The 18,241-nt window shown below is 37.3% G+C and overlaps 1 protein-coding gene across 19 annotated transcripts in view, besides 1 other annotated feature; it reads left to right on the plus strand.

Moving 5' to 3' along the window:
- Nucleotides 2,256-3,455: an enhancer, noted in NCBI's record as "BRD4-independent group 4 enhancer chr14:60386022-60387221 (GRCh37/hg19 assembly coordinates)". NCBI's record gives its function as "activates an origin of replication core promoter dependent on BRD2, P300/CBP, MED14 and CDK7 cofactors, and independent of BRD4, by STARR-seq in HCT116 cells {active_cell/tissue: HCT116}" and the evidence as "EXISTENCE:reporter gene assay evidence [ECO:0000049][PMID:35650434]".
- Nucleotides 2,665-18,241, plus strand: part of LRRC9 (leucine rich repeat containing 9) — a 147,105-nt gene continuing 131,528 nt past the window's right edge. For 13 of the 19 annotated variants that reach the window (NR_075071.3, XR_002957549.2, XR_002957550.2 and 10 more), the window contains exons 1-6: nucleotides 2,665-2,835; nucleotides 10,863-10,943; nucleotides 11,220-11,438; nucleotides 13,870-14,010; nucleotides 14,571-14,634; nucleotides 14,921-14,991. Coding sequence is in view for 15 of the 19 variants with exons in the window: in NM_001355272.3 (NP_001342201.1) it covers nucleotides 10,896-10,943; nucleotides 11,220-11,438; nucleotides 13,870-14,010; nucleotides 14,571-14,634; nucleotides 14,921-14,991 (543 nt within the window). In the remaining 4 variants the exon portion in view is untranslated. Of the gene's footprint in view, nucleotides 2,836-3,095; nucleotides 3,226-6,882; nucleotides 10,631-10,685; nucleotides 10,737-10,862; nucleotides 10,944-11,219; nucleotides 11,439-13,869; nucleotides 14,011-14,570; nucleotides 14,635-14,920; nucleotides 14,992-18,241 lie in introns of those variants that run through there. The other 6 variants (NM_001395648.1, XM_024449568.2, XM_024449563.2 and 3 more) reach the window with 5 other exon arrangements.

Consider the following 18,241-nt stretch of genomic DNA (forward strand, 5'->3'; position numbering starts at 1 on the left):
CTCCAAGGAATTAAGACTACTACCCCCACTTAAATTCACTATCCTCAATTTGTTGCCTTAGAGCTAAGTACAAATATATCTGAAACAGAGGCAATGTCTTCTTAAAATTCCATTCTGGCTGCCTTTTAAGAAAAGCTTATCCATTAATTATATATCAACAAATCATGAACAAAGGCTATTTAGCATTTTTAGGTAGACCCATTAGAAATAGCGTTCTGTTGGTCTAATTAAAACTTTACTTCAGAATAATCCCTAACTTTTAAATGGATCTTAATACACATGTGTTGCTAGGCATCAATAACAAGAGGGCCTCTGTTGATGACTTTATAAGCACCACATAATTATATCTTCCAGTGACAAAGTAAACCCTAAGTAGTGATGCATTTGTGATTTTTATGATATATCAAATTTAAATGTGAAACAGTAAATTTTTACAGATAAAATCATTAGCTGGAAAGGACTCATTTACATAAGGATCAAATGTCTACACAAATATAAAAATCGAATTAGCATTTAAAACCTCCAGACTTGGTTCTCTGGAAGTAAAGGCACTATTAAAAGGGAGAATTGAAATTAGATGTCTCCACAGTTCTCTACCAATAAGGATAGGGCTGCTTTGAAAAATAAATTTAACAATCTATTTAAAAGGTTCTAATTAACAAATAACTATGTAATTCAAGATTTTCTTATTTGGGTCTGCAAAGTCACCTCTATTTTGTTAAAATAAGTGATTCTTTAATTCAGGATATGATATAGCAAATTTGCTATAATTAGTGGTAATATCTCTTTCCAGTTGTTTTCAGATTCAAGATGCCTTTACCCATAAATAAATAGATTTAAATTAATATGGCTTGGCCTTTGTCTAGTATGATCAGAGGTGAATAAAGTGAAGTCTTATTTCAATTAGATGATTACTTAATTTGCTTGACTCTTCAGTAGTTTCAATTTCCAGCGTTTTTTGTTCAGACATAAAACCTTATAATAAAGCTACTTTAAAGTGAGAAAAGGAGATTAACAAAAATGATCACTCTTTTTGCATTGCTTCTATGGCTTTTAACTGTAAGCATCTTTTGCTTCAAACAACATTTCGAATATGTGAACAGAAGGTGATTCTCTTAAGACTTACCCTGTGGACAAAGGCTTTATTTTGGCAAGTCACCAATAGTTCTTAAGTCTACAGCTATGCAAGAACTCAGACTCAGTTGCTGACTGGCCAGATCCTTGAGCTTTACCTAGAATAATAACAATCTTAAAATTATTTGTTTATATCATGTAAAGAAAACTGTTAGCTCTCTCCTAGTCTTTCACTGGTCAGGAAAATCCCAATAGATTCCTAAAAATATACTTTGATAATGTTTATACTTTCATCCCAGAGCTGGACCCCTCAAATTAAGAAACTTAGTGTAGATAATTCGCTGAACTGGTTTCTGTTCAAATTTCTATGTCTAGAAGTGTAGAAATCTCAACTATTATGTTCTAATTCATCTTTATACTCTATGAAGAAAACTTCCCCAAAGACAGGTCACCTTGTTCAACTACATTTCAGAGAAGATAATAGTAAAAGTAAAAACTATGAATCTGACTTTTCTGGCATTAGTTTGAAACCCCTAAGCCACAAATAACTTTAATTAGCTTATTTCGAATTATCTATTAATGACAGATAGAAACAATTTTCTGTGAAATAAGAATGTAGAGGGAAAACCAGTTAATTTTTGTTTATGTATCTTTACAAACGGTCTATATTACAGATAAAGTTAATTGAATAAAGGCAAATATGCTGAAATTGTTGACAATTGTTAAATGAGAATATTCCTAAAATCTGAACTTTTTCTTGGGAAAGCAGTTCAAAACTATAGTCTATTTAATGAGGTGGCCATCTGGTGACAGAAAGAAGCACTACAGACAATATTTTGCATTAACATCACAACTATTCTACACAAACCGACTGAACCACATAAAAGAGAGCACAGTCCAAAAGAAACATAATTCAAGTCATACATGCAATTTAAAATTTATCTAACAGCCGCATTTTCAAAATAGAAACAATAATTTTAACAATATTTTTTATTTAACCCAATGTATCAAAAATATTATTTCAACATTTAATCAATATGAAGATTAATAACGAAAGAGTTTATTTTTTTCATACTAAGCCTTCAAAATACAATGCGTACCTTACAGCACATGTCAATTTGGACAAGCCACATTTCAAGCGATCATGGGCCCTGCGAGTCTGTGGGTAGCGGCTCACCCTGCTGGACTGCGCAGATCCAGAGAACGACACGAGACCTGCGGTTGCTTTGGTTTGCCTTTTACTAAGTTCATTTCTCAGCCTCTCTGCCCACTCTGAAAAGTCTCCCCTTTCCCCCCTTTTAATTCTACTCTATTTTGTAAATTACTGTTGTCTCCTGAAAATTTTGGAATGCTTAAAAGGCACTCAAAAGCCTGTCCGAGATCGACTAGAAGACCCTCGGAAGGTCCCTCTCTTCTCTGGACCTCACTGGGCGTTCGTTTGCCCGCGCCGTCCTTCCATTCGGCTTGCCGGGCGCGCAGCGGCTTGCGGCTGTGGTCAGCCACCTTCCCGGGAGGCGGTGGTCGCTGGCCGCGGGAAGGATGCCGCGCTGGGGGTCGGGGTTCGTCCCGGCTGTCACGCCACCTTGTGACATCACAGGGCCATGCCCTCGGGGCTCAAGGCCAGAGAGGCTCCGCGCTTCCAGGACCCGAGAGCTAAAGATAATGAATGGGAGAGAGCGAGACTGGAGGAGGTAACGAATAAGTCCCCACCACCTTGCCCATAACGCGTTGCTTTCAGTCACGTTCCGCGAACTGGCGAAGGTAAGTGAAAAGATAAGCGCAGGTACAGAAAAACCTGCCAGCGAGAAGCTCCCGCCGTTTCCCAGGAGCCCCAGGTGGGGTCTTCCGGTTGGACCCCTGCTTCCGCTGATTGGTTGGAGGTCGCCACCACGTGATGCAAACCCGGGTCGGCCTCCGCTTCCCCCCCACCCTTTTATCCCCCTCCCCGCCCCTTTTCTCCTCCTCCCCACCCGGAGGTCGCCGGAGGCGGAGATCAGGTTACCTAGGCAACCGCCACAGGCAGTCTGTACACACCAGGCCTGGGGCGGGAGAGGGTTTCCTACCTTCTGCTGCAAGACAGGGATTGGGAAATCGGAGTGGACTCGGACTTGAATCGGATTGCCCCGGAATCCACCCTCTCTCTGTGATAAGGTCAGAATCCGTCACCTGGTGGCCTTCGGGCGTACATCACCGGGAGTCTTTGATCCCCTCTTTTTCCTTCCAAGCCATACCAAGGGGAAGACGCCAGTGAAGCAAAGTTGAGGTCAAGGGAACTCCGTAATGGTGCAATGGTGATGATAATGATGAAAGACAGTGAGGTGGCTTTACTGAGGCAGTCAGGGTACCAGAACAAAGTTCAAGAGAAGGAAAGGGAGGGTGGCCTACAGCCAACTATGCAGATTTTACTGCACCAATTAAGATTCTGGGCTGGAAAAACCAAGTGCTCCCTAACCAAACCTGACACTGCTCATCTAGAGAGTGTAGGGGGTTTATTTGGACCATCAGTGGTAACTGATGGATTCTGATCCTTTTATACCCAAAGGAGGAAATAATTTGACCCATACAGGACTTCTACTGGGCAGAGAAAAAAAAAGTTTTCTCAGAATGACATCCTAACCAACTCTCACGGCAGACAGAAACCATGGTCCTTTTTACTCTATCATTATACTCTGGTCATGGAGAACGATTATGTCTTTAAATTATACCATATGCCTGTGGCATGACAATTAACCCATTAAACAATTTTTTTAACAACTAGCATGTGCCAGACAGTGAACCTGTGATAGGTTCACAGTTTCTGCCTTCAATGAACATGTAACCTAGTAGGGAAGAAAGGCCCGTAAACATTGTTTTACAGTGTGACAAGTGCTATACAAAGAGTATGTGCAAGCCCTAACCAGAATCACAAGAAAGAGAATGCTTATAATACTACCAGAGAGAATGAAAGTCTTCAAAGAGAAGATCTTTGATTTAAATCTTTAGGGAAGTATGGAGTATGCCATACAGCCAAGGGAAAAGGACATTTTAGGGAGAGGAAACAGCCCATGCCAAAGTACAGAAACATCCATTCAGTTCCAGAGAACTATAGTTGTGGCCTGAACCTAGGGTCCTCTGTGGAGGTTGTGGCTGATGAGCATGTGAGGTAGGCAGGAGTCAGAGCATGGAAACCATTAATACCTTCCAAAGGGGTAAAGCATGAGCAGATTTACCTTTCAGGAGGCTGTCACAGTAGTGTAGAGGATGAACTTGAGGGAAGACAGACTACAGGGAGGACATCAAGTTAAGGGGAGGTGATGAGGGCCTGAACCAAGGCAGAGGCAATTGGAATGAGGAGGAGGAAAAAAAATGTGGTAAGACCTTTAAGAGGTATATGCAGAAGGATTTAATGAGTGAATGAAAATAGGGGGATAGAGTCAAAGATTGGTTGAGGATAATAGCTCAACCAATAGAAGAATGGTGGTGTTACTTTTCAAGAGAAGGCATACATTAGGAGAAGGAGGCTGGTTGGAAAATATAATGAGTTCAATTTTGAACACACTGAATTTGAGATGCCTGTGGCACATTCAGATGGAGCTTTTTCATGTGGGCAGTTGGATTTTTTTTTTTTTTTTTTTTTGCACAGAAAAGAAGATAAGGATTTTTCACCATGAAGAAAACAATTGGTTTGAAAAGCACAAAGTAGGCCAGGCACGGTGGCTCATGCCTGTAATCCCAGCACTTTGGGAAGCCGAGGCGGGTGGATCACAAGGTCAGGAGTTCGAGATTAGCCTGGCCAATATGGTGAAACCCTGTCTCTACTAAAAATACAAAAATTAGCCGGGTGTGATGGCACGCGCCTGTAGTGCCAGCTACTTGGGAGGCTGAGGCAGAAGAATTACTTGAACCTGGGAGGCAGAGGTTGGAGTGAGCCCAGATTGTGCCACTGCAGTCAAGCCTGGGCAGCAAAGTGAGATTCTGTCTCAAAAAAAAAATAAATAAATAAATAAGAAAGAAAAAAGAAAAGAAGAAAAGCACAAAGTAAGTTTGAAATAACAAGTAGAGAGAAGCCAAGGAGAAAAGTTGAACCAAAGAAGAAAACGTGAAGAAGAGAGTCGTCAGCATTGTCAAATGCCATGTCAAGGTCAAGTTGAGAATCAAAACATGTCCGCTGTCTTTGGCCATTAGAAGGTTATTTTTGACCTTGTAGTGGCTTGAGGTGTTCTCAGTCCAGATGGCAGTGAATCCAGGACTGAAAGCAGGTAGTGATGTGTTGCTAATGATTATCTAAAAGGTGTACCATAAAGGTATCTAAAAACAGCTATTCATAGAAGAATATAGGAGAGACTTTTTAAGATAGGAAAGACTTAATATTTATATACAGAAATAAAGGAGACCGTTGACAAGGAAATTTGGCAATAAATGAAAGAGGAAAATTTGACAGCAGTATTCTGAAAGAGACAGATAAGGATAGGATCAATACATAGGAAAAGGGATTTGTTTTGGACAAAAGGAAGAACACCTACTAAGACAGGAGTCAGAAGGGAAAGAAAAATACGTCTTTGAGAGGAGGGAAATAAGAAACATACATTTGATGGCACCACTGTTCTCTGTGAAAATGGGGTCAAGATCATCTACTGAGAGAGAGACCTTGAAAAGAGTGGTGAAAGTTTAGAATAGTAATGTCATGAATCTCGAGTCTCTAGTCCCACTCTCCTAGGAGAGGAAATTGAGGAAAATATAAAACATTTGTTGCTGAAGATCTAACTGAAGTTAGAGGCAATGCATTTGTAGTGACTTCAGCTCCATGCTGGTTAGGTGAAATTTTCCAGTAGCAATCCAAAGTGGAAAGATTAATCCTATGCAGTTTGAGGTGTAAAAGCTATAGAAGTTCCTGGTGGCTTCTGGTTTTGTGGGGGAACTAGAGATGACCTTTAGCCTCTTAAATGGGCCAGCCCTGAAAGAGCTTCGAAGAGCAGGAGAGTAGTTACAAGCTGGCCAACAGGACATTCACCTCTTGATGAATTCAGTAACTTCATCTGGAACCCTTGAGTCCATTTGTGACTGGAGAAAACATACAAGACTTGTAAGTACCAGGAAGGCCTAGCATCCTTGTGATTCAGAAATAGTTATACAACTTATAGAATTTGGGGTTTTTAAATTAAATTGTATTTTTCTAATTAGCTGTTGAATTAGAATAAGATTTTCTGCTAAATAAGTGCATTGATGAAGAGAAAATAAGTTGAAGTGAGAGGTAAGATTTGTATCCCAAATAGGCATATTTTTCTTCCAAGGAAAAGTAGTCTCAAGTAAATGGAGAGCTATCCCTTGTTCTTGAGGATGACTCAAAACTGTAATATGGAAGTTCTCCCTAAATTAATCTTTACAATGCAACCTCAACCAAAATCCCAACTGCATTTTTTAAAACTAAATACAAAATAATCCTAAATTTTATTTGGAAAAATAAATATGGAAGAATATCCAGGAAACTGCCAAAAAAGAACATGAGGTGGGAATTTAAAATATAAATCACAGTAATTAAAACAGATACAGTCAGGCGAGGTGGCTCACGCCTGTAGGCTCACGCCTCCCAGCACTCTGGGAAGCTGAGGTGGGTGGATCACGAGGTCTGGAGATCAAGACCATCCTGGCTAACACGGTGAAACCCCGTCTCTACTAAAAATACAAAAAAATTAGCCGGGCGTGGTGGCAGGCGCCTATAGTTCCAGCGACTCCGAAGGCTGAGGCAGGAGTATGGCGTGAACCCGGGAGGTGGAGCTTGCAGTGAGCTGAGATCGCGCCACTGCACTGTACTCCAGCCTGGGAGACAGAGCAAGACTCCGTCTTAAAACAACAATAACAACAACAAAAAACAGATACTCGTGCAGGAATAGTCAGAGCTAATGAAAAACACAGACTAGAAAGTCCAAAATTAGGCCCCAGTGTATGTGATCATTTAGAATATAACAAAGAGAATGATTTAATTCCTTCTACAATAGTTATCTTGGACAAAGGCAAGATAACTTAGAACACCATTTGGTGAATTTGGAGCTTTGAAGGGAAGCGTTTGTCCTTTGTGTGGTGGTGGGCAGCTAGGCTATCCTTTGGTAATCACAGACTTTAATCCAGTATATAAGGGTTTCTCTTTCCACGAGTAGAGGTGCTGCAAAACACTTTTTAAGCTTGGTGCACTATTCAAATAAACCTGGAGAGGTAAGACTATGGCCTGCATCTATGTATGGGCCTTTGATGGAGCTTCCAAATTCTTTCAGGTTGCTTTCTTGACTGGCTTCTCTTGCAGCCTATGCTGTAATATCCTGAGGTTGTCCAAGAATGGAGTAAAGATGAAATTGCCAATGGGAAGCAGGGAAGGAATGCGCGGCATTTCCTTCAATATAGACCCATCATCTAACCACTGTCTCCACTGCCTCTACCACCACCCTACTCCAATCACCATCCTCTCCCACTTACATTATTACAACTGCCCATTAACTAGTCTCCCTGCTTTTGCTCCAAACCCTACAATCTATTTTAAATACAGCAACCAGAGTGATCTTTTTCAATACTTATGACAGTTCTTGTTACTCTTCAACTCAAATCCTCATATAGCTTTTCATCTTACCATAATAAAATACAAAATCCTCACAGAGTTCTACAAGATAGCACATGATTTGGCCCTGAAATACCTCTCTGACCTCACATCCTACCATTATTTATTTCTCTCAGTGTACTCCAGGCACATAATTTTCCTTGCTATTCTGCAAACATACCAAGTATACTCTCACTGCCCCCCATCCCAGCTTTTTTTTTTTTTTCCATTTGCTGTTTCCTTTGCCTGTATGCATTTTCTCCAGATTCCCGCATGGCTCACACTCACACTCCCTTATGTCCTTCATTTCTTTGCCCAGATTCCACCTTATCATCTGATAAGGTCCTGATCTTCTTTTTCCTCCCACCGCTGTCATTCTCTGTCTGGGGTTCTGTCTTATGCCTTCAATATGAATATTAACAAAGAGTCAATGAATGAACAAAGAGTCCAATGTATTAGGATAATTTGCTGGCTGTATTTTTCTTTGTGGTGCTAGCTTGGGTCCCATCCCTCCTTCTTGACTCAGTGTCTTCGTCCATTTTGTGCTGCTATAATAAAATACCTGAAAATGGGCAATTTAAAAACAACAGAAATGTATTTCTCACAGGTCTAGAGGCTAGGAAGTCTAAGATCAAGGCATCAGCATCTGGTGTCTGCTTCCACGATGATGCCTTGAAGTCTGCCTCCTCTGGAGAGAAGGAACAGTATGTACTCACATGGCCAAGTCAGAAGGGCAAAAAAGGGATGAACTTTCTCCATCAAGCCCTTTAAATGCACAGCTAATGGGCAGCTAATGCCATTTGGAAGGGGAGGAGCCCTCATAACCAAATTACCTCTTAAAGGCCCACCTCTTAATACTATCATATTGGCAACACCTGAAGTTTGAAGGGGACACATTCAAACCGTAGCATTCAGCATGGTAGGGCAATGTCCTCAATTTACAAAGCATGAGTACAAATACAGACTGTGTGCAATTTTCTGGTGCATTTCTCAAACTCCTTTGATTTGGTCCCTTATATATAATACACAGCTACCCCTTCCCAACCACTGCTTCTCTCAATTTGAAGATTTTTTAGAATTGTTTGGTGAAACTTCTTTCCCTGGTACCTTGAATTTTGGTCTGTAATATGGTTTGGCTGTGCCCCCACCCAAAATTTCATCTTGAATTGTAATAATCCCCACATTTCAAGGGCGAGACTAGGTGGACATAATTGAATCATGGGGGCAGTTTCCCCCATGTGTTCTTGTGATAGTGAATTCTCACAAGATCTGATGATTCTACAAGGGGCTTCCCCCTTCACTCAGCTCTCATTCTGTCTCTTGCTGCCATGTGAAGAAGGTTGGTTTGCTTCCCCTTCTGCTGTAATTATAAGTTTCCTGAGGCCTTCCCAGCCATATGAAACTGTGAGTCAATTAAACCTCTTTCCTTTATAAATTATCCAGTCTCGGGCATGTGTTTATTAGCAATGTGAGAACAGACTCTGGTTTGTGTTAATGGGCTTTTTTCTCAATCTGATGTTGTCTGTGTCATATTTAAAGACTTCTCTCAATATTTCTGGCAATCATTGCTCTTTTTGTAGCACTGCTATATTCTTTTCTTGTTTTCATATTTCTGTAGTCATTCTAGTGAGATTTGGGGAGGGAAGATAGGTAAATACATGGACTCAAATCATCATCTTTTTTCTTAACATTTTAATTTATGTATATGCCAGCACATGTACATAATTTAGCATAAATGAATAAAAATGAGCATATAAATGCCTTTAAAATAAAAATTTAAGTAGAATTTCATTGAAGTATAGCATACATCCAGAAATCACACACATCATAGGTATCTAATTTTATTTTCAAATTGAACATAACCAGCACCTAGATCAAATAATACATTGTTATGAACACTCTATAAGCCCCTCTTTTTGCCTCCTCTTAGTTGCTCTTCCCTGAAAGGTAACCAATATCCTAACTTCTAACACTACAGTTTGTTTTAAAATCTTACATGAATTGAGTCATACTCATTATGAGTATTACTCATTGTGTGTCTCTTCTTTTGTTCAACATTTGTTTACGTGAAACTCACTTATGTTGCAAATAACAGTAGTTGTTTCTTTCTCATTCCACTTTTAGGTAGAAACCCCAAAGAAATTTGTAGCTATGACCTGTATGACAAAATGTTCAGAGAAGCACTATTTAACCCCCAACTGGAAACAGTCAAAATGTGTACCCATAGTAGAAATAATAAATAAATGTCTATACATTCATACTAGGCAATTCTAAACATGCTTTTTTAAAAGTATCATTTTTTCTTTTCCATTTTTGCCTAGATCTCTCCCATCCAGCTTTACATTTGTATTCTGGCCACAAAGGCTTTCACCTGCATCTAAGGAAACTCATATTAACAACTTAGTATATATCTTTCCATATTTTCTCCTGACAATAATTATACATATACATGCATTTACATATATACACATGTATACACACATGCCTATGGGGGAGTTGTTATTGTAAAGAAAGGGATTATACTGTATACCATTTTCTAAATCTCGCTTTGTCAGTTCATTATATTAAAGGCAGGATTCTTATATTTTTTAGATAGTATGTATCTGGAATAATATACAGAAAATATTACAAATTATGAAAGTTGGATTAAGTTTCATCCAACTGAAGTATTAGTTGGTTCATATTCTCTAGAATGAAGGAGAAGTTGGAGTATTTATTTTAATAAACACTTATTACTATGCCAAAAATGTTGCTAAGCCCTAAGGATTCTTCTCTTTGCAGTCTAGGTATACTTAGAGAACTGTGTTCACGTTTAGACACCGCAGTGTAATACAAAGGACAACTAGAGCCTGTTCAAAGGAGAGAAACATGAGTATATAGTGAGAGAACTAACAACTTGAACTGGGAGTAAGATAAGAGTGTAGATGAGAGATGACCATTTTCTTCAAGTATTGAAGGCTCATCGTGTGGAAAAAAAGTTATACCGAGGAGGTATACTGACAACAAAAGGGAAGGAATTATGGAGAGAGAGATTTAAAATTAAAATAAAAAATAACCTCCTAACAGAAAACTCCCTCAGAGTTTATACAGATACTTGGTAATATACTATGTGAAGATTTCAAACTACAGTTGGGTGGTTCAACCTCAGTAGCTTTAAGGTCTATTTCAACTTGGAATGACAATGACTTTAATATTTATTTCATTTTTTCATTTTCCTTAAAAGTTATAATATTATGATCACTGTTTTTAATGGAAGATGATTGAAAGTGAAAACCTAAACCAAGAAGAAATAATTAAAGAACTGGTGAGTCAAAGTCAAATTTCTTTTAAATAACATTTGCAGTAATATAAAATGGAAAGTTTTTATGCTCCTTTCTAGAGCTGGAAGGGTTACTTAGTCATTTCCTCTACCTAGTGACTTTGGGAAGCAGAGAATAATCATATATGTGATATAACTTTCTCTCTTGTGAGATTATAAAAATGGCATCAGTGCAGTTGACAATTTATAATTTCTAATGGTAAAAGTCATCTTTTAATTATTTAAAATAGGTAATGACCAAATTTCTTTCCTTTAAAACAGTGTTTGTGCAATGGCTTATCTTATGAGATGGTTGGACAAGAAGGATCAGATACATCAAAGTTGGAGATGTTTTTCTTAGGGTATCCTCGTATAGTTGGATTATCATTATTTCCTAATTTAACGAGTCTTACCATTGTTGCTCAAGATATAAAAGAAATTTCAGGGTTAGAGCCTTGTTTACAACTTAAAGAACTTTGGATTGCTGAGTGCTGCATAGAGGTAAGTGTAAACATAAAACCTCACATGGAGTATTTTATTCTGAATTATTTGGCTTTAGAAAAATAATTCATTGAAATATATGCATAAGGCATGGGTTAAGACAGATAAATGAACAAAGGCTAGAAATTGATTTGTACAAAGGAAAAAATAAAAATAAGGAATTAGAACATAAACATATTCTACTTTTTAGTAATCAAAGCAAATCAAATCAAAACAGCATGTTACTGTTACAAAACAGACACATAGACCAATGGAACAGAATAAAGAACCCAGAAATAAGGCCACACACCTACAACTATCTGATCTTCGACAAAGATGACAAAAACGAGCAATGGGGAAAGGACCATCTATTCAATATATGGTGCTGGGATAACTGGATAGCCATATACAGAAGATTGAAACTGTACCTCTTCCTTATACCATATACAAAATTAAACTCAAGATGAATTAAGGACTTAAATGTAAAACCCAATATAAAAACCCTGGAACACCACCTAGGCAATATCATTCTGGACATAAGAACAGGCAAAGATTTCATGACGAAGACACCAAAAGCAATTGCAACAAAAGCAAAAATGGACAAATGGGATCTAATTAAACTAAAGAGCTTCTGCAGAGCAAAAGAAACTATCAACAGGGTAAACAGACAATCTACAGAATGGGAGAAAATTTTTGCAAACTATGCTCTGACAAAGGTCTAATACCCAGCATCTATAAGGAACCTAAACAAATTTACAAGAAAAAAACAAACAACCCCATTAAAAAGTGGGCAAAGGACATGAACAGACACTTTGCAAAAGAAGACATACATGTGGCTAACAAGCATAAGAAAAAAAGTTTAAAATAACTGATCATTAGAGAAATGCAAATCAAAATCACACTGAGATACTATCTCACACTAAGACAGAATGGCTATTATTAAAAAGTCAAAAAAAAAATAACAGATGCTGGCAAAGTTGTGGAGAAAAAGGAATGTTTATACACTGTTGGTGGAAGTGTGAATTAGTTCAACATTGTGGAGAACAGTGTGATGATTCCTCAAAGACCTAAAAACAGAAATACCATTCAACCCAGCAATTCCATTACTGGGTATATACCCAAAGTAATATAAACCATTCTATCATAAACACACATGCACGTGTATGTTCATTACAGCAGTATTCACTAGCAAAGACATGGAATCAACCTAAATGCCCATCAGTAGTAGACTGGATAAAGAAACTGTGGTACATATACACCATGGAATACCATGCAGCCATAAAAAAGAACAAGATAATGTCCTTTGCAGGAACATGGATGGAGCTGGAGGCCATTGTCCTTAGCAAACTAACCCAGGAACAGAAAAGCAAATACCACCTGTTCTCATTTAGAAGTGGGAGCTAAATGATGATAACACATGGACACATAGAGGGGAACGACAGACTCTGGGGCCTACTGAAGGTGGAGGGTGGGAGAAGGATCAGGAAAAATAACTAATGGGTACTATGCTTAATACGTGGGTGATAAAGTAATCTGTACAACAAACCCCCATGACAGAAATTTACCTAAATAACAAACCTGCACATGCACCCCTGAACTTAAAATATAAGTTCAATAAATAAATAAATTGATTTGTGCAAAGGAAAAACAGAAATAAGGGATTAAAACATAAACATATTCTACTTTTTAGTAATCAAATCATAACCAGTACTACGTAGTAATAAAATTGGTCCACTTAGACACTATTGGCTGTGTTGAAATTATAACATCTATTTTGAAAAGAAATATTGCAAAACATCAAGAGCCATCACAGAAATGCACAGGGCATACGTTTTGTCTTAGAAGTCCCTACACTAAGATTTTATCCTAGAAAAGTTAACTCAATAGCAGAAAACAACCATATGCACGAAGCTACTTGTTGCAGCATTATTTATAACTAAAAATTTGAAACATAAATATGCCATACATCAGGTAATTTTTCAGAAAATTATTATAAACTTGAAATATTTCATAATTATTAAATATAATTTGAAGGATTATGAAAACATTTTAGTCTTAATTTAAAGAGTCCCACAAAATTGTGTGTGCATTAGGATTATAAAGTGCTTACATTGTTATAATCATAACCATATGATCATAATCATTTCTATATGATTATAATCATAACCATATAGAAATATGATATGTGATATATATGATTACAATTATAACCATATATAAATAGATATAGGGTTGATCAAAATTTAAAGAGAACATGCAAAATTGAAAATAGTTGTATTTAAATGGAAAACATGGAATATATTTTTTTCTTTTAAAACAGTTCATTTTGCTGGATATTGATTTTGCAATAAAATATGATATTTAAAAGAAAATATACTTAGAAACCTACTTCATTGGAAGGATTAATAGCAAAACATAAACTAACATTATTCAGTCTCCTTTTCTTTTACAGAAAATTGAAGGTCTTCAAGAATGTAGAAATTTGGAAAAACTATATTTATATTTTAATAAAATTTCCAAAATAGAAAATTTAGAGAAATTAATCAAATTGAAGGTTCTTTGGCTGAACCACAATACAATTAAAAATATTGAGGTAAGATAATAATTTCAATTATCTATATGTAAAGCCAGTTACTACTGTAGAGTTTAAACCACAATGTTCAAGATCATATTGTGGTTAAAGGCCAAACTATTCTTGACTAGTACAATTATTGTTGTCAAAAAGAACTAACATGTATATAGCATTTTATAAGGTACAGAGGGCATTGTGTACATTACTTTCTTTACTCTTTACAAGGCTAAGAGGTAGGGCATTGTTATTCTTTCTTTGAAGGTTTAAAAATAAAAAGAGGTTTAGATAAGTTACATAACTTGCCTAAGATTATAAATATACTCTGTGTGATGTATTCTTTTTCCTCCTACTCCTCCTTTTTTCCTCTCTACTCCGCTTCCTGTTCCCTCCTCCAATAATTCTGAGTTCCAGTATAGAGAACAAAGGTGGCTTCTTGGAGGCACTCATTTCCTTCTGTGCTTGTGGAGTACAAAGTACCCTGTGCTCAGAGCACCTGCAGAACTAACCAGATTAATCAGAGATGATTTGTAAATGTTAATTTTAATTATCTGTTCTAAATAATATGTTGTCTAAATTTTTAGGGTTTGCAAACTTTGAAGAATTTAAAAGATCTCAACCTTGCTGGAAATCTAATAAATAGCATTGGTATGTACTATTTCATTTGGAATCTGAGATAATGCTATAATCATTTTTTATCAATATAAAAAGTACATGCTTAGATTTTTTTTCTTTTAGGCTTTTTTCTGTGACATATTTGCAAAGCATATTGAAACCTGTGAAAATATTACTCATTAATCAGTGGTTACTAATTATACAATGGTACCATTAGTCTATTTATATGCAAGAAACGATGGCTACATACAACTCAGAAGTATGACAGAATATGAACAGAAGGTAAAATAATTGAATTCTTTTCGTCTATTTTTTAAAGGTCGATGTCTTGACTCCAATGAACAACTGGAAAGATTAAACCTTTCTGGTAACCAAATATGTTCTTTCAAGGTATGTTTAAGTGGAATAATTAATTTTTATTTATCATCCTGAATCATGAACCATTGTGTTGCAGAAACTGTACTAAAAAGTCCCCCATTAAGGAATAAGTTCATTATTTTGGGCTGATGCTCCAGGAAATTTGAAAGTCATCTGACTACATTGGCCTTAATGATCTGACACTATTAAAACCAAACAAATAACTATTTACCTGGCTCTTAGGATACCATTTTCTCTTAGTTTTCTTCCAATCTTTCTGGCTACATCTCTTCAGTTTCTGTTCTTTCATCCTCTCCTAGCATCTAAGATATGGACTGCCCTTGGTCAGTACTGACATCTTTTCTCATTTCTGTCTGCATTCATTCTCTAAATAATCTCATCATGCCTTAAGACTTTAAATACCGTTTATCTACCCTTTAAACTAGTACCTTTACTTTCCTTAACAACTCTCCAGAACTGTACACATATCTTAATGCAAACTAATTTTTCCTCTACCAGGCCTTCTCCTGCAGTCTTCCTCACCTCTCTAAATGGAGTCTCCATTCTTGCAGTAACTTAAGCCAAAATCCTTACAGTCATTTGTGACTCTTCTTATTCCTTCATACCCTCATCCAATCCATCAGCAAGTACAACTGGGTGCACCTTCAGAATATGTCCAGAGTCTGATCACTTCTTACCATCTGCATCACTACCAAGCTGATTCAAGACACTATCATCTCTAACCTGCATTAATGAAAAATATCTTCCTAACAATTTTTCCTGTGTTTGTCCTTTCCCTACTATAGATCTGTTCTCCACACAGAAGCCTGATGGAACCTTTAAAAATCTGTCAGATAAAAATCACCCTTCTGCTTAAAACCCTCCGTCGCCTTCTCATCTATTTCAGAGTAGAAGACATTTCATATAATGGGGCCATAAGACTACCTAATCTAGCCACCCCACCACCCCTACCTATCTCTTTGACTACAGTTTCTACCACTCTCTCCTTTGTCCAGTTTCAGCCACACTGGTCTGAATACACCTAGCACACAGTAATCTTATGGCCTTTGCACTTGCTGGAATTTTCTTTCCTCATATACCTGCATGGCTCATTTCATCGTTTATTTCAAGTCTTTTTCAAAATATTGTGTTGTAAGTGACACCTTTCCCTCCCAATTTAGGTGTAATAGGAAAACCGTCACAACCTCCCCAACCTGCAGCACTCCCTATCACAGTGCCACTGTTTCATTTTTCCTTTTGGCACATCCCTTACTAGAATACCAGCTCTCTGAGTACAGGAACTTTGCCTGTTCTCTTCATTGCTGTATCCACAATCCTTAACACAGTGTTGGACATGTAGTAAATCTCAATAAACATTTGTCAAGAACATGAATGAAAGAGAAACAACCAAATAAAGGGACTTAATGTTTATCACATATAATGTTGGTTAAAAGGTGGCATTTATAATTTTGCCAGTGTAAGATTGAAGGTGCATATTCAAACACATCCTCTAGAAAATACTGAAGAAAGATAGGTAAATTTACTATAGAAATAATTTTGAGTTCATAAGTATTAAAGTAGGCATTCTTTTACTCAGGCAAAAATATAAAAATACCAAAAAGCTATAGAATGAGGCAGATTAAGTCCCTTAAAAAGAAATGTAAACAAAATTGTATTAGTCAAATTCAAGAGGAAATATTTGATAAGAACTTTGAAGTGTCAACAGAATTTGAACAAGCATTGGTGGGAGGATCTTCTGGGTAGCAGGGCGTGGGCATTCTAAGACGGGGAAAACAATATGTACAAAGGCAGGGAAGTGAGAAATCAAGGGGTATATTTGAATAACACCAGCATTGTCATTTGACTGGAGTATAGAGTATATATAGCAATATTGGAAGTTAACACTAGAAAGGTCAATTGGGTCTCGAATATAGACTGTATTTTATAGACAACAGAGAGCTGTAAAATTTTTGAGCAAGAAAGTGATATGATCAGAAATGTTCTTTAGGGATAGTGATCTGGAGTTAGTGTTTATTGATTTGGAACAGCTAGAAGAAGAAAACCCAGTCAGGAGATTCCAGGAATAATCTAAATGAGAAATTATGAGACTATGAATTGGAGTGTTAACAGAAAAAAAAAGAAAAAAAGAAGAGGAGGAGGAGGAAAGACGAGGAAGAAATAGATGCAAGAGACATTATGGTTGTTGAATTTGCAGAATTTCACAGCTAGTAGAATGTGAAGAGCTAGAGAGTCCAAAATGAATCCGTGATTACAGTTCTTAGCAAGCTCAAAAAATACACAAATCAGAAAAAAAATAGCTAGTTTGGTGGGGGTGAGGGGAAGAGAATGTATCTGGTTCTGGATATGTTGAGTTTAGAATACCAGTGGGGCCATCCAGGTAAAGATCTGTACACACAACACTGAGAAATGGGTAAAGAGCAGTCATACCTTACAATCTTGGCATAACAAGCAAGAGTGTGAAGCGATGCTTAGGGCCATGGCAAATTGTCTCTACCAACATTGAGACCATCAGATAAGGGATCAGATTAAACATGTGGAAAAGAAGCCATGATAGAAATCAGAGACACTGAGAGGATGGTAACAGTTGTGACAGGGACAGGCAGTAAGATAGATAACAAGATTGTGTGTGTGCACGCATGCACGTGCACACATGTGTATCTTTCCCCTTCTAGTTCTGCCAGCTTAAGATACTACACTAAATCTTTAAATCATACTTACTATATGGAAATTCTAATTATCAGGCTGGTAAACACATCATAAAATTAAAACAAACCAACAAAAAACCTTTGAAATAATTCTTACTTTTAAAAGAGCTCTTTTAAATCAATTAGAAACAAATAATCTAAGATACCCAGTAGAATAAAGGATAAGTGAGCAGATAATTCATAGAATTGAACTCCACATGACTAGTAGATTCATAAAATAATTTTCAATCCTACTAAGAATGAATAAAATGAAAAATAAAACATGATATAAGGCCGGGCATGGTGGCTCACGCCTATAATCCTGTCACTTTGGGAGGCCGAGGCGGGCGGATCACTTGAGATCAGGAGTTTGAGACCAGCCTGGCCAACATGGTGAAACCTTGTTTCTACTAAAAAAAAAAAAAAAAAAAAATAGCCAGGCGTGGTGGTGGGCGCCTGTAATCCCAGCCTATTCAGGAGGCTGAAGCAGGAGAATCACTTGAACCTGAGAGGCGGAGGTTGCAGTGAGCTGAGATTGCACCACTGCACTACAGCCTGGGTAACAGAGTGAGACTAGG

The sequence above is a fragment of the Homo sapiens genome, chromosome 14, assembly GCF_000001405.40.
Source record: "Homo sapiens chromosome 14, GRCh38.p14 Primary Assembly".
NCBI classification, from domain to species: domain Eukaryota; kingdom Metazoa; phylum Chordata; class Mammalia; order Primates; family Hominidae; genus Homo; species Homo sapiens.